This window comes from Homo sapiens, chromosome 1 (genome assembly GCF_000001405.40).
Source record: "Homo sapiens chromosome 1, GRCh38.p14 Primary Assembly".
Classification (NCBI taxonomy): domain Eukaryota; kingdom Metazoa; phylum Chordata; class Mammalia; order Primates; family Hominidae; genus Homo; species Homo sapiens.
Genome location: NC_000001.11, coordinates 60919736 through 60936781, shown reverse-complemented (window position 1 = coordinate 60936781; position 17046 = coordinate 60919736). Strand labels below are relative to the sequence as shown.

At 43.9% G+C, this 17046-nt stretch overlaps 1 long non-coding RNA gene across 2 annotated transcripts in view; it reads left to right on the top strand.

Annotated features, from left to right (window-relative positions):
- Positions 1–12201: 12201 nt before the first annotated feature.
- Positions 12202–17046, top strand: part of LOC105378764 (uncharacterized) — a 30973-nt gene continuing 26128 nt past the window's right edge. For both annotated transcript variants that reach the window (XR_947441.3, XR_947440.3), the window contains exon 1: positions 12202–12271. This is a non-coding gene — a long non-coding RNA (uncharacterized LOC105378764). The remainder of the gene's footprint in view (positions 12272–17046) is intronic.

The window sequence follows — 17046 nt, the reverse complement described above, 5'->3', positions numbered from 1 at the left end:
GCAAAACACTTTGGAGGGCTGGAATGGGAGGGGAGGGCTTGGGAGAATTACCGGGGTGGTGGGGGGTTCATGTCATGTATTTGCATATTCATTGTCTCCAATTGGGAAACAACAACTTCAGAAAAGCAAGCAAAGAGGTTCACATTATTTTAGTGACCCTGAAAAACTTGCACATTTCTGCTAGGAAATGTGTGCCTTCCCTCTATGCAGCATTTGTTTTAAGTATTTAGCTTCCCTACACAGTTGTAAGTTCACTTGCCTGTTCTCTCTCCCTCCCTCCCTCTCTCTCTTTCTCTCTCCCTCTCTGTCTTTCTCTCAATTACTTTAGTCAGCACAAATTTGGAGGCAGAAGCAAACCTAGTAATAGCATATCTCATGTTGCTATCAATTTTCTGCCAGAAGACCATTTCAGGACACAAAGTCCTTTGTCTATTTCCAGAAGCTCGATTCAATGACATTACATAAATGACTACAATACTATAGCATGTTCTGCACCGTTTCAAATTGTAACCTAAAAAAGGGAAGAACCTGGATCGCAGCCAGGGTGTAATGATTTCAGTTCTTAAGAAAATCCAGCAACCATTACACTACATTCAATATTTTCTTGCTGTGGAAATTTAAGATTCGACTCTAATCAAATAGAAAACCCCACCTCCTCATCCTCCATTTTGCTATGGTTTCTGTTACTAACTGGCCTCCCACGTCTGTTTTGGCTTAAAAAAATAAATAAGTTTACAATATGTTTTTAAAAATTGGGCTGAATCAGACAATTGTATATTTTAGAAAATGAAGGCAAAATGTAAAACAGGCTAATCATGATTCCAAATTCAATCTTCAGGGCCCTAATTGATCCCATCCCAAAGGTAACATTCTATCTTAATTGACATGCTGAGATGGTTACAATTATGTAAAATAAAACTTGGCTGGTTGGAAACCCCATGTCTTCTTGTAGAACAGGAGATGGCCAGCTTTTATAATAGTTGATTGCAAAAGGATGCAACCACTTTGCTCATATTTCCTATTTTGGTTTGGCCCTTGTACATGTGCATTGAGGTTCCCCCATCCACCCTTTAAATAAAGTATGGACTGCAAGGGGAATTTGATGCCATTATATTTTCCTTGGGGTTGGGGGAGGACATCTTAGAAAGGGTCAATATTTTAAATGCCTATTTTTTAAGTCAGGGGTGTGTGTGTGTGTGTGTGTGTGTGTGTGTGTGAGAGAGAGAGAGAGAGACAGAGAAAGAGAAAGAGAGAGAGAAAGAGAGAGAGAATGAAGCTGACATTTCCATATTTGTTGGCCGAGTGATTTTTCTGTGCAATTGTGACCACACGCACGAGCTTGTGTTCAGCCTTGATAGGAAACAGATGGCAGTGAGTGTGGAGATCACGCGATGCTGGGCCCACAGAATGGACTCACAGCCCTTCCAGGATGCCCATGAAGGGGCTTCACCCTTTTTCAGATCCCGCCAGACATTGTGCCTCCCTGCTGAGAGCACCCTGAATGGGAGGCCAGGGCTCCCTGGGGTGATGCTGGATGCTAAGGAGGCAGGAAGGCGGGAGGCCTGTTTATGCAATCAAGAGAGGCAGAGGCCTCCTTCGATGGCAGGGAACACCTGTGCCTCTTGGCATCTTGCCTCCCTGGATGGGTGAACGAAGCAAGCCTAGTGCATGGTGATTAGTATTATACACCCCCTCCTGCCAGCAACGCCAGCCATAGGAGTGTCGTGAACATTACATATCCATCTAGCTCACTCCTCTATCTCTCAAGAATGTGGTCTGTGAGCATCCCCACTGACCCTGGCTTAATTCAGAGCCTCAACACGTCTCTCCCAGATTGTTGCAATGGATTTTCTCATGGCCTCCTATCTCAGCATCTCTAATTCATGTAGGAGCCAGAGTTGTACAAATCTGACAATGTGACTTCCCTGCCTAAGCCTTCCCACAGCTCCCCAAGTGACCCCAAATAAAACACAACCGTTGTTACTTATTTGTGTAATTATTTGTTTAATGCCTATGTTGGCTGCTGGTTTACTCCTATATCGATGGCATGGAGCACTGTGTTGGGGGGCCTCAGTAAATGTTTGTTGACTGAATAAAAAATTCTTCCTTGAGAACCAAGGAAGACTGCACCTCTAGGGCATTGTACAAGTGTGCTAATACATTTTTCCCTTAGCACCATATCAATGCCTTAATCAATATTTATCACCTCCTCCAGGCCCAGATAGACAAACAACACAGTGACAGAAGCACCCTTTGGGCAACACGTCCACTCTGGACATGCTTAGCTCTTCAGGAAGGAACTTGGACAGTAATTAATAAGTGGAAAATATTCTATTTTGTGCTTACTTTTTCTAGATTTTAAGGACCTCATGGCTGCATGGGTCTTAGACCACCTTGTTCAAAAAACTAATTTTCTAGGAGAGGAATTTTCTGAGCCCTGGAAAGGTTATGACTTCCTAGGTGACCTGTACTCAGTTATCGGCAGGGCTGCGCTGAGAACCAGGGATTTCTTGTACCATATTGGGCAGGGGCCCAGGCTAACTTGGGAATAAGCAAAATCTCTTCATGGTACCTCTGTTGATTCCATTTCACTTCTACACTCCTCCTCCATTCATTTCCTATTTTTATGTTACTTACGCTCAAGGCCCCCGTGGGGCCTGTTCAGAAGTAGGCTGGGACAAAGGAAGGAGAGTGGACCCCTGCAGTCAGAAAGACCTGGGTTCAAATCCAAGCTCTACTACTTCCTTGCTTTATGAACTTACACAATTTACTGAGTTCTCTGAGCCTCAGTTTTCTCATGATAATAATCTCATGGAGTTGTATGAGGATTGAATGAGGAAACATATGAAAAGCCTCTGACAAATCATAGCAGCTTAATGAATATTCAATGCCTTTTCCTTCCCACAATTCTTTACCCCATCAGCACTCAGCCATTTTGAGTTTCTGTGCCATACTCTCTGCCAAGTTACTTATACTACTGCATTTCCTCCCTTCTTTGCTTCCTCTTTGCATGTATCCCAAGATAATATGTGCATTTCAACAGGATCTTTCTGGAATAATTTATAATAATTTCAATTTTATAATAGATATAGTTATATAATATGTTATATATTATATAGCAAATTTGCATATATTTACATATTTTAATTCTGTAATAATAATTTTTTTTGTCAAAAAGATAAATAGAATCCTATGGTCAATAGGTGATTAGAAAGGATGTGGCCTTTGGAATCAGACATTGAATATCATGTCTCAGACTAATAGTGACATATCCTTGGGAGGGCTACTCTAACTTCTGAAAACTAGAACTTTCTCTCCTGTAAAGTGGGGTTGATAGTTTCTACCTTCCAAGACTGAAGAGAGGATTAAATGGAATGGTGGCCCCATGCCTGGTACGGAGGAAGTCCGCAGGAAATATAGGGTCCTTTCTACCTCCTGGTGCAGTCTGGGCCCATAGGAATAATTCCAACAACTGATTGTTGAATTACATTGAATTTCTAAACCCTAAAGGATTGATTTTAATGTAGGGGGCGGTGGAGGAGAAGAGGAGAGTTTCCCAACAAACATGTCCTAAGTTACATAATATGCTAGGAAGTGGAGATAATGAATGCACACAGTGGGTCACTGTGGTCCCTAGAGGAGTCACAGCCACCCACTGAATACATCCAGCATCTGTTATGGGATTTTCAGCCTACATGTCAACAGAACATATGTATTTTATAGTAAACAACATGACAAGGTGGCCCAGGCAAATAGCCACAAGAGTGCTCACAATTGACACATACTCAAGGTGGAGTAAAAGGAGTTTTTCTTTCCTTTTTTTTGTTTTTTTTTTTGAGATGGGGTCTCGCTCTGTCACCCACGCTGGAGTGCAGTGGTGCAATCTCGGCTCACTGTGAGCTCCATCTCCCGGGTTCACGCCATTCTCCTGCCTCAGCCTCCCAAGTAAGTGGGACTACAGGCGCCCGCCACCACACCCGGCTAATTTTTTTTTTTTTGTATTTTTACTAGAGACGGGGTTTCACTGTGTTAGCCAGGATGGTCTCGATCTCCTGACCTTGTGATCTGCCCGCCTCAGCCTCCCAAAGTGCTAGGATTACAGGAGTGAGCCACCATGCCCGGCCAAGGAGTTTTTCTTTTAGGCAGGGCTCGTAGGACATTCTTTCCAGGTGACACTAGTGTGTGAGGCAGGCTTTGAAGAGAAGGCAACTGATCAGAGTTTGGAGAAGACTCTATTGGTGGGAATGCAGAAAGGATGAGCTCTCTTATGGCCTCCTGAAACATGTCTTACAGTTTATCCGGAAGCAGAATTGTTAGTGGGGTCAGAAACTGGTGGAGTACAGCTAACTGGAAATTGTCCATAACTGACATGCACTGACGCTGTTATTCCTGATCCCTAATGTCTTGGATGTCACTTTTCTAATTCCACCATGTTGGTTATAATACTACAGGAGGAGGGGGTTGCTGAATAGCATCAAACTAGAAAAGCTGTTTGTGAGTGGACACACCAGCTCTGACACTTGCTTCATTCATTCAGTCATTCTTTCATCCATATTTTATGCTGATTATATGCCAGATATCTTCTTTGGACAGTAGCATAGCAAGGGTAAATGGTATCCATTGCTAAGGTATTGTATCTGTTCTGTCTCTCTCTCCACCCACTTGGCCCATGTTGCCCTAGAATTTTTCTATTTTTGTTTTGAAATGGGGTCTTGCTTTGTTGCCCAGGCTGGTCTTGAACTCCTAGGCTCAAGCAATCCTCCTGCCCTAGCCTCCCAAATAGCTGGGACTACAGGCACATGCCATAGTGCCTGGCTTAGGTTCTGAAATTGTCAAGAGTAGCATCTTTGTGGTGGCTTTATATGCTGGTTCCAGAGATGAGTGTCCCCCTACTACTCTCACCCCATGTGCCTGTATTTGGTACTGTGAATATTACAATGATGTACAAGACATAGTCATGCTCTCATGTTTTCTGACTAAGGCGTCAGGTGAGTTGAGAGAAAATAGAGTCTTATCAATGCTATGATAGATGTAAGCATGATATGATCTAAGGGACCAGAAAAAGAGAATTAAAACCTGATTGTGATGTCAGGAGGACTTCTGGGAGGAAGTGACATCTGAGATGCGGCCTGGAGGAAAAGTCTGCGAGAGTAATTTAGGTGACATGAGGAAATACTGTGTGCTGGGCAGTATTCTAGCTGTGAAGTTTACAGCGGTGATGAGCAAAATAAAGTCGCTACACTTAAGGAGCTTTCTTTCTAGTGGAGAGAGAATGAGAGGCAGAGAGAACACCATGTACAGAGAACTGGAGGCGTGATTAGGGAACAATATATAATTCAGCAAGCCTAGAACCTAGAGTCCACAGAGGAGGAAGCAAGGAGCGGGTGGTTCAAAGAAAGATAGGCCTGAGAGGTAAACATGTGTGTGCATGTGTGTGTGTGTGTGTAAGTGATTATGAATGACCTTGCTGTATGTGTAAATGATCATGAATGGCCTTGCGTACCAGGCTAAGAAGTATAAACTTTGCCCTGAGGACAGCAGGGAGCCATTGAAGAATTTAAGCAATGAAGCGGCATGATCACATGTCTCTCTTAGAAAAAGAAGTGGCCACAGAAACAAAAAATCACTCTAGTTTCAAGAATGAAAATAAATTGGAGGGAGAAAATTGTGCAACCTTGAAATAATTATTTAATCTCTCTGAGCCTCAGTTTCTTCATCTGTCCATCTAACAGGGTTGCTGTGACATTAACTAAAGTCATAGCTCTGGCATCACTTGGTCCTGTGTACTCTTTATGTTTCAAGATAATTCCTTTTTTTTAAAAAATTAAAAATTTTAAATTTTTGTGGGTACACAGTATATTTATGGGGTACATGAGATATTTTGATACAGGCATACAATACATAACAATCACATCGGGGTAAATGGATGTATCCATCACCTCAAACATTTATCCTTTGTGTTGCAAACAATCCAATTATATACTTTTAGTGATTTTAAAATGTAGAGTTAAGTTATTATTGACTATAGGTGCCCTTTTGTGCTATCAAATACTAGGCCTTATTCATTATATCTATTTTTTTTTTTGTATCCATTAACCATCCCCACTTCCCCTGCGCATCCCCCATTACCCTTTCCAGCCTCTGGTAACAATCGTTTTACTCCAAGATGATTCCTTTTTAAGAAACCCCAAATGCTGAATGGATTTTAGTCAACAACTTTGAGAAAGAAGCCAGGATGAAGCTGGACTGGGTCAGGGTTTCAGATTGACATCAGGAGCACAGACATTCAGCCCTGAATTCAGAAGAGAGTTAATGAAGGCTGCGGTGTGTCTAAGGATTAGTGATGGAATAGGAGGTGGAGTGGTGGGGGGAGGGAGAGAAAAATTGCTACTCTGAGGCAAAAGGCAGAATCCCTGTCAAAGAGAAAAACCTTTGTCTCCAAACACACCTGCAAGGGTGTGTCTGATCATAAAGAGGCTCTGTAGCTGCTGGGCATGGTGGCTCAAGCCTATAATCCCAGCACTTTGGGAAGCCGTGGCTGGTGGATCACCTCAGGAGTTCAAGACCAGCCTGGCCAGCATGGCAAAACCCCATCTCTACTAAAAGTACAAAGATTAACTGGGCGCCTGTAATCTTAGCTACTCAGGAGGCTGAAGCAGGAGAATCACTTGAACTTGGGAGATGGAGGTTGCAGTGAGCCAAGATCTCGCCACTGCACTCCAGCCTGGGCGACAAGAGCAAGACTCTGTCTTAAAAAAAAAAAAAAAAAAAAAAAAAAAAAAAAGAGGCTCTGTGGCACAGCCAGGAATAGCTGCGGGGAAGGGATGAAGAGAGATCCAAACAGATACAAAGTAGCTGGGAATTTGGGGAGTTGAGAGCAAGACGGAAAAAACTAGAGGTAGGAGGAAGAGGGAGAGAGGGGGAGAGAGAGAGAGAGTGACAAAGAGCAGCAGAACACCAGGGATTCTGAGGAGAAGGTAAGCAAGTGAGAAGTTCCAAGTGGTAGGTATGGTGCAGAGATTTTAAGAAGAGGAATGTCTAATTGCTTAACAGTGACTCAGGTTGTATGCTGTGCTATTCCGTTTTGTAGTCCCCCTTCCCTATTCTCCTATAGTCTCAGTAAACTTTTCAGTAGTGATATTTGGGGTAAATCCAGGGGAAAAGTGGAATTTTGTGTTGGAATCCGCATGGAATAGAAAGAAGAGGACAGGGCCGGGCCCAGTGGCTCACACCTGTAATCCCAGCACTTTGGGAGGCCAAGGCAGGTGGATCACGAGGTCAGGAGATCGAGACTATCCTGGCTAACACAGTGAAACCCCATCTCTACTAAAAATACAAAAAAATTAGCCGGGAGTGGTGGCGGGTGCCTGTAGTCCCAGCTACTCGGGAGGCTGAGGCAGGAGAATGGTGTGAACCTGGGAAGCGGAGCTTGCAGTGAGCTGAAATCACACCACTGCACTCCAGCCTGGGTAAAAGAGCGAGACTCTGACTCAAAAAAAAAAAAAAAAAAAAAAAAAAAGAAAGAAAGAAAGAAAGAAGAGGACAGATACCAGAAGGAAAAGCAATAATGTTAACTAGATTTAGTAGGAACAAAAAATCTGAGTATTAAGAGATCAAGAATGTATAAATCCTGTAATCCACAGAAATCTTGGGGAAGAATATTAGATTTAATGTGGAGTGGGAGTGGGGGCAGCATCTCAGCAATTTTGTCAGAACTTTAAAGAACAGAAGCGATGCCAACTGACATTTGAGTTGCATATGGAATTTGCAGTGACCATTTGCAGAAGCACTAGGAAAAGTAGATGTGGCCTTCTGGGGAAAGCACCAAGCAAGCACCTGAGTTAGAGCCTTATCCACTTTATCTACATTTTAAAAATGTTATCCATCCACCCATTCAACCATCTCTCTGTTCACCCATCCATTCATCCACCTACCCACCCACCCTTTCATCACTTCTATCTCTTTCTCTCATTGTTCTTTAGAGCCCAAACTGATAAAGTGAAAAAGTACAGGAAATCCTCTCCTATTCCTTAGACTTTCCACTGAAAAATGTGAAACTTTAGACCTTTTTGGACTCTTCTTATTTTATTGGAGTTTCTTGCTAGTTACCTGCACTGCCAACAGGATCATCCTAACCAAATGTGTATAGCTTCTTACTTCACAGTTTGTGACCTAGATATGGGTTGAGGACTTCAGGATTTAATTAGAATTCATTTCTCCCCGTTTTGGTGGTGATTGAATAATATAACCTATGTTTCAAATCCTCTTAACTTGACCTGAATCTGTTATGTTTTCCCCTTAACTATTCAGATTAGTTTCGTTTTTATTTATTTATTTATTTATTTTTTAAATAGAGATGGGGTCCGGCTATGTTGCCCATGCTGGTCTCAAACCCCTGGCCTCAAGCAATCTTCCTGCCTCAGCCTCCCAAAGTGCTGGGATTACAGGCATGAAATACCTTGCCTAGGCCAGATTGGTTTAGAAGAGATGTTTGGGAGGTTGTGTCTTCAGGCATTGAAAGAAAATGAACATTTTTTTTCTTGAAAGACTCCCATTCATATTTACTATCCACCTTTATTTTATCCAAAACCATTTGGATGGATGACCTTTATTTTACGAGCAAATTATTGAGGCTCCCAACATGGGTTTAAACATGTTGTGGTGAACAGGTCTTTGCATTACAACTCCATGAATCTAATCCTGAATTTTAAACTCTAGGGCACAAATGATTTTCGAACTAGGTTGAAGCCAAGTTTCCAGACTGGGGTTCTGAATGTAGAAATGCATAGTGTGGGGGAGTCTGAGGTTATATAATAAAGGCAGAGGCAAACCTTAGCAAGGCCATGTGGAGAGAAGCACCTGGAAGCTGTAATGATTGCTTGGCTTCCTGTCCTGCAGTCCTTTAATTCTCCAGGTGCAGCCACTTACTCCGCACCTGTGGGCTCAGCCTTGCCCTAGAACATGGAGTCAGTCCTGCCTCTATTTAATGATTAGTACCCAGTGACTCAGATTTGCATCCTGGTTTGCTTAATTTGCCTGGAGTTTATTCTATTCTGACCTCCTGTTGTATCTGAAGTCCAGTTTCCTGGGAACTGGTTCTTTGCACCCCCTTCCCCCATCCCAGACCACCTGCATGTCTGGATATTGCCAATGCTGTTGAAATCAGGATGTCACTTACAACTAATGCTTCGAAATGCCAGCTGCTTCTCTGCCTACATTTTCCCTATTTCAAGCATTTTCTTCATGTGTTCCCTTTAATTGGGGTTTGTTTAATCTCTGGATCCTGGTTCATTTTCATCTCTTTCTTTGAAAACTTCTGTGCATCACTCAATGTACTACCCAATACAAAATGCCAGGGAAGAGCAAGGAGGGGTATCCTACTCCTGGGGGTGATTTGGGGGTGGCTCCACAGAGGAGAAAACTTGAGCCTTAGAAGATGAGTAGGAGTTGGCTGCATAGATAAGTTAGATGAACATTTCAGTGAAACAGCAAGACAAGGCACACATTGAGTTTGGGGGCATTTCAAGCAGTTTGGGAAGGTTCAGGTACTGGATGGGTAGGAGGTGAGGCTAATGAACTCGGCAGGGGCCAGACCAGTGATGACCTTGTGTGAAATAATTATGACTTTGGCAGTGGTAAGAGTAGAGAAGGATGTTGTTAATAACACCGAAGCCAATGTTTCTCTTTATAATATTAACATAACATGAGTATGAATAACTTATACAATAAGAACAACTAATTTATTTTCCCAAATGACTTTCCTAGGATGTTCCTGAGCGTTTCTAACATCAATGGTCAGACATTTGGGAATTGCTGTGTTAAACTGTGCTAACCAGGTTTCTTGGATCCTTTGATGTGTTGATGTGCTTTGTGACTGGATGTGTCTAGAGGCACTTTCCAAACATATTTGACTACTACCTTCCCTCTCTTGCAGTATTGCAAGGGACTAGAGTTTTGAGCAGCACACGTTGGCGATAGAACTAGGATGTTCTGCATAGTGTTGTCCAGTTGAGAGCATTTATGAACAGCGAATCCTGGCCTATAGGGAGGCACCAGCTGCAGGGGCCTTGCAAAAGTGTGATGCAGCTCATCTTCTACCTGGCTTTGTTCTATCATCCGTATCTGCTAAGATGTTACTGCTAATCACTTAGGCATTGCACAAGGCTGCTCAGTGTTCACCATTTCTGAAAGTAAAGCACTGGAGAAAGAATCAAGTGGAAAGGGGGTGAACGGTAGTAACAGAGAAATTCTAATAGTGGGAAGAAAAAAATGAGGAAGAAACTTTAGAATGGATAAAACATTCTCACTGAAATTGGACATGGAGCCAATTCTCAAGTTATATTTCTGGTTTAGAGACATTAGGCCAGGGTTGAAGACATCTGGGTAAAAATGACCAATAATTCAGTGTTTCCCAAGCCCTGGAAAGGCAAGATCTTACTAACTTTTGTAACTCCAAGGGAGTCCTTCATGTGAGGTAGGTACTCAATAATTGTGTCAAATAATTAAATTTCTTTTCTCTTGGGGGCTTAGCCTTCTGTTAGTAGGCTTGTTGGTTTCCATTGCTGTAAAAAGTAATGTGTCTTTGAAAACAGTGGTTATCTTTGGGAGGTAGGATTGTGACTGATTTATATTTTGTGCTTTCTTTTGATGTGCATTAAACATTTATTATAATAAATGAATGACTTTTATAATCAGGAAACAACAATAATTCTTTAAAAGGTGCGTCACTAGTTCTCCCTTAAGCAATTTTCATAGGTAGAAAAAGTAGAAGGCTGAGGGAGTTTGCTTTCATGGTAACAAAAATGAATTCCACCCTCCTTCTGGCAGGGAAGGGTGGAGGGAAAGACTGGGGTTTCTAGACCCAAAATTTCTAAGAATCGAGGCTAGCATAGTAACTGGCATGCAGTGAGTGTTCTACACGTATCTGTTGAATGAATGAATATCAGGGTGGTTGGTGAAGTTTATTATGCCATTCATTCATTTCCCCTCCTAAAGATCTTTCCAGTTACAGAATTCCTCCTACAGCCTATAGGAGAGGAACGGGTGAGACAGAAACAGGACACAGACAGCTTGAGTGACCTGCCCAGGTCACTCTGTAGGTTAGGAGGTCAATTTAGCCTCAGGGCTAAATCCAGAGACCTGGGCTCCACCTCCCGGCCAGGCGCAGCAGGTCTGGCAGGGTCTTCAGCCATCAGGGTGCTGCACAGCAGTGGATTGCATGCACAGTGCTGCATTCATTCCACCAACGGTGGTGGTGTTTTCAGCACGCAGCTGCCTCCTAACAGCTCTCCACTCCATGGAACATGGAATGAAAGTAACTTTGAAAAAAAAAAAAAAGATCCTCACACACTAGCACCCTTCCTGCCGGCCCTGTTGTGATTCTGCACCGAGGGTGTATTTTAATTGATGAAATGTGCTACACAGCCCAACCAAATTGAAAAGTAACAACCTTCACTTACCATTTGGAGATGTGACGGAAGTGCCAGGAGTTAAACTCCGAGGACTAAATGAGATAACAGAAGCTCCCTATCCTCTCTTGAAGAAGCTCATTAGTTTTTGCTTTCTCACATTCTGTTTGCTGTGGCCCGCAGCCAAAAAAATGGCGATGCAGAGATAATAAGTGAGAGTTAAAAATATGAGGAGAGTGATTGGGAGGTGCAGGACCTCAGGCAGCTGGGTGAGGCGGGGTGGGGGGGCGGTGGCTCAGGTAGGGCGAGTCTGGGAGGGGGCAGGAGGGAAGGATGCAGAGACCAACTGAGGGAGGCTGAGGAACAGAGAGAGACAGCCACATGCAGGGACACAGGTAGATGGAGAGAGGGGCAAGGGAACAGAGAGAGAGGGAAGGGCAGAGAGAGAGAGGACGGGACACAGAGGGTGAGAGGCAGCACACACACAGAGACAGACATCCATAGGAGGTACAGAAAGGGTGGAGAGTGGGAGAGGCTGAGAGAAAGATGTGGGAGATTGAGTGTGCTCTTGGCAAAGGTCTACAATAATTGGAGTGGGTTCAACGGTCAAGGCCATGCTGTGGGGAAGAACAGGAACAGGGTCAATTACATCCTGCGGATCCCTCAACACACCACCCCATGGCAGCAATTAGACACGAGGGAAACTGGATTTAATGTGAATTTTGAAGGCAGCCATGGGAATGACAAGTAGAACACATTGTCTTCAATGTGGCCAGTGGCCCGCCAGGCAACCCAACCTGGCGCCTTCGTCTATGATGAAGGCTACAAAGCGTGATTCCTTGGTCCCAGCCCCTGCTTGCCAGGTAAGCTAAGAGGCCCTTGAGGCTCACCTCCTCTTGTCACTAACTTCCTAGACTTCCAGGCCTAACACAACATAGACAAGCCAGGAGCTTGCTGGGTGCTGGTTGGCAGAGCACACAGGTGCACCACCTCCTCCCTTCCTGCTACTTCTTGATGATGTCATACAGATCACTCCAGTATTTAGGAAATGCCTAAGCATCTACTGTGTGTGCCAGGCAGTGGTGAACTGGCTCAGCCTCTTTCCCCCAAGACTGTCCATTTCACTGGGAAAGACAGACTAAAACATCAGCGCTTCTCCCTAAGGTAGAGCACAGGGGTCCCAGTGAACTGCGACTTGGGCCAAGCTTTGCAGGAGTGTTGCATGTATACGTCTTCCACAAATGCCACAGTGTTCAGGCAGACTTGGGTCTGAAAGGAAATGTCAGGGAACAAAAAAGGAAAAGGAAAAGAAAGGAAAATGCTAGCATTTACTCTTGTGCCAGGCACTGCCACATATGTTATTTCATTGAATCCACACAGTAACCCTGGCACGTGGCTATTTTTATCCTGCTGTTTTTTTTTTTTTAAGTAGATAAGGAAATAGAAGTTCCGGGAGGTGAAGAAACCAGTGCAAGGTCCCTCAGCTAGTCAGTGGCAGAGTTGCTAGCCTGGGTCTGTCTTTCTATTGCCCCAGATTCCTACCAAGGCCTCATGAAATTCATCATCCACTGGGCAGGCCCAGAACACAGCCAGGCTCCGGCTGCCATCCCCCCACACCCCCATAAATGTATTTTTCAACAATGAGGTTTTCTCTGCAAGTTAGTGATTTTATGGCTCTCAGCAAAAATCTGTGACACCAGATGTTAAATGCAGCAGGAGAAAGTTATTTTCATCATTGGTGAAATCTTGCACAGTGCACCGATTCTGGTCATATCTGACTTCAGGCAACATGTGATCTGATTTCTGTTTACAGAAAGAGGCCCTACATGGGACGACAGAGAGACATGCATGGCTATTTGGGCTTCTGGGTGTTGGGAAAAGGGACAGCTCAGCATAAGACTGCCTGAGACTTGTGACCTGACTGGGAAACAACACCTGGCTTTGTCTGTGGGCTCAGATCTCCTAGCCAGAAACCCCACAGTTTCTTGCAGGGGCTTGACAATAGTGCTCCTGGGACCTGTCCACCCTGCGGCCATCACTCCTGCAAGTCTAGCTAGTGTGACAGATTGACCCCTCCTCTATTTCACTTCTGTCTTCTCTGTTCCCTCCCACCAGCATATTTAATTCTATCTGTGTTCCTGGCCAGCTCTCATGGAGACAGGAACTATGGGGTTGAATCACATGAAATTGTCATTTTTGTGTGTGTAGGTAAGCAACACCCACATGTTGGTAATTGCATTTCATTCATGCTAATATATTGACAATTTCAGTATCGTATCCAGGGTGGTTTCCTTACTGTAAATTGGAAGGCTGTGGTAGTTGGATCATAGGGTTGTTGAAAGGTTAAATTAGATAATGTTATAAAGACACTAAGGTCATTGCTTAGAACAGAGTCAGTGCTCTGTAAATGGAAGACAGTATTAGGATATGATAACTATTGTCCCAAGTTCCTTACCCTATCCAGAGTTTCTTGCCCCCAAAAGGAGCCTTGCTCAGACTCCTGCTTAAGGCTTACTTGTCCCCCTCTACAACTTGAGCCTTCTGGTACTCTGGCTTAGGTGCCAGGTTCCTACCACCAAAGACAGTGGCTCCAGGCCCTGTTGAACACCCCTGAATTTCTGCCTGCGTGACCATTGACTGAATCAAGGTCGTTCTTTCATTGTCTGATTGCCCCAGCATTGCCAACATCTGAGGCAGTGGGTTTTCTCAGCCCCTGTGTTCATTGAGTTATGCAAGTCTTTGGTTTGCTTCCCATTGTATCTAGAAGAAATGAGTATCTTCCGGGGGGTGGGGGACCGTGATTGCTCAAGCTGGGCCTTACAAGGCAATGTACTTTGCTGAGTCCAAAGGCCTGGTTCTCAGTTCTGTAAATTTAGAAACATGATATTTGTTCTTAAAGTCAGAATAGAGCAGGGTTTCAGGACAGATTCCTACTAGCCTGGTGCGTGAGCTGGGCCAATTTATTCACTTTGAATGAGAAACAGAGCTGCCGAAGGGTTAGGAATGCTTGGGTCAGCACATGGTCTCCCTGTAGGAAAATCTGCAGGGGAAGTTTATGGGATGCTTGGTGAGCAGTGAATCTGAGAAAAGGAGGCCAGCATTTTGAAGGAGGCATGAGGCCTGATGAATGTCCCCTGCCTGCAGCAGGGCACCTGTTTCCAGTGGCCAGCTAGTGTCACTGACAGATTCACTGGCTTTCCCTTCTGCAGGGCCAAGCAAAAACAGTCATTTCTTCCCTTTAGAATTTTTTTTTTTTTTTTGGCCTGTTCTATGATGACCCATTTTCTTTGGTGAACACCATCTTCTATACTATTTACCAGTGATTAGTTTCCTTAAATACAATTAAACCTCAGGTTTGCATTCCTGAGATTATCCAAGTTATAATTCAATTCAATTCCAAATGACAAATATTTCTTGTGCACCTACTATATGCCAGGCTTGCCTAAGATTTTCTACATCATATTAAATTCACTCTCTTCAATGACTTTTAAATTGAAAAGTATTTATTGAGCTAGGCCCTGCCTGAGACCCTGGGGAAACAATGGTGGACAGTTTATATGTGGTCCTCATCCAGTGGTCTGGTTAGGGGAATGAGACAGGCAAACAAGCAATTACAAAGCACGGTAGAAGGGTTAAGAGGAGCGGTACAAAGTGCTATGGGAGCTCACGAGAAAGGCATCTAATCTAAGTTTAAGGTTTCTGGGAGGGCTTCCTGGAAGAAGTGACATCTGATCTGGGGCCTGAAAGATCAGTAGGGGTAGGGGAAAAGTGTGTTCGTGTGTTTGCGTGTGTACATGTGCTTGCATGTGTGTGAGTTTGTATATGTGTGTGAGCTTGTATATGTGTGTGTGAGTGAGTGGGTGTACATGGCACAGTGAATTGGAATCAGAGAATTAGCTGAGGTGAGGCTAGGAAAGTAGGCAGGCACCAGAGACAGCAAGGTCTTGTCGCCTCTGTTACGGAGTTAGGACTTTGTCCTGACAACAGTGGGAAGCTATGCAGAAGCTTGAAGCGGGTCAGGAAGTAATCCTATTAGTGGTTTAAGACGATCACTCTGGCTATGGTGGGCTTTGGGGGATTTGTAGTATCCTCTACTGATACTTTTACAGATATGCCTTGCATTCTGCTACATGTGATTCAAATTTCCCCATGATTGATGGATTGTTTATTTTATGCATTATTTTCAAGTTTTTGATGAGGAGGGGATGGGGGGATGGGAAACACTCTTTGTTCACCTCATGAATGAAGGATGTCCTTACCCCCTCTCCCTTCCTGCCTGGTCTTGCTAGAAATGCATCACACCTGAGACTAGTAATAAATGATAGCAACGATGCTCACACAAAAAAACAGGTCTTCCCATTAGCATTCAAACACTTTTTTTTTTTTTTTGGTGGAAGCAAAATGGCCATAAAAATGACTTTAAAAGTAAAAATTACTAACTCTGCATTTGGTTGTTTAGGTTACTACATGATTTCTGAGTTAAGGAGGAGTCCAGCATGTGAGTGACAGAGACATCTCCGAATGATAGGTCATTGATTACTTCCTTAATGGAACAGGCTCTGGGGAAGGACAAAGATAATCCTGTTAGAGAAATCAGCATGTTCTAATTGACTTATGCATAGTGAAAGCAGAGGGCTCCATTCCTTCTCCTTCATTTGCTACCAGCAGGTTGAGAGGGAGCAAAGCTTGGCAACTCCTGCCTGGAACTAGGTTTTCCTTCCCCAGGCAGAGGAAGAGGGACCTGACCCTGCCCTGTCATGCGCCATTACCTGACTATTTAGGGCTTCCACAGTGAGGCAGGGTAAGGGAACAAAAGGAAACTTCTTGACATGTACAGAGTTACTCCTCACTGTGGTCCTGGCTTTAACACTTGGGGGAGTGATTTGCTAAACTGCCCTTCTTTTACCACTTTGTTAGCTGTTGAAAAGTGTATGTGTGTTGGCCGGGCGCGGTGGCTCACGCCTGTAATCCCAGCACTTCAGGATGCTGAGGCGGGCGGATTACCTGAGGTCAGGAGTTCGAGACCACTCTGGCCAAGATGGTGAAACCTCCATCTCTACTAAAAATACAAAAATTAGCTGGGCATGGTGGTGAGTATCTGTAATCCCAGCTACTCGGGAGGCTGAGGCAGAGAATTGTTTGAACCCAGGAGGCGGAGGTTGCAGTGAGCTGAGATGGCACTGCTGCACTCCAGCCTGGGCGACAGAGCAAGACTCCAGCTCAAAAAAAAAAAAAAAAAAAAAAAAAAAAAAAAAAAAAAAAAAAAAAAAAAAGAAAGTGTATGTGTGTTCGTGCGCTTGATGTATGCAGCAGATAACAAGGGAATACAACTCTTGATGGAACCAGTTCTGGACAACTCTGGAAAACAGGAACTTGCCCTTGTGATTTCTCAACCTCCTTGGCTGTGTGGGTCTCCAGCTGTTGGCTTCTCTTCCTCCCACCCATTGCATTCATGGGGTTTCCTTTCTTTTTTCCTTCTTCCTTTCTTTTCTTTATCTCTTTCTCCCCTCCCTCCCTCCCTCTCTTCCTTCCTTCCTTCTTTCCTTCCTTCCCTCTTTCCTTCCACCTCCTTTCAAGAAGGATTAACTTGCACCTTACACTATTCCATAAGCATTTATAGAGAGCCAACTATGAGTTA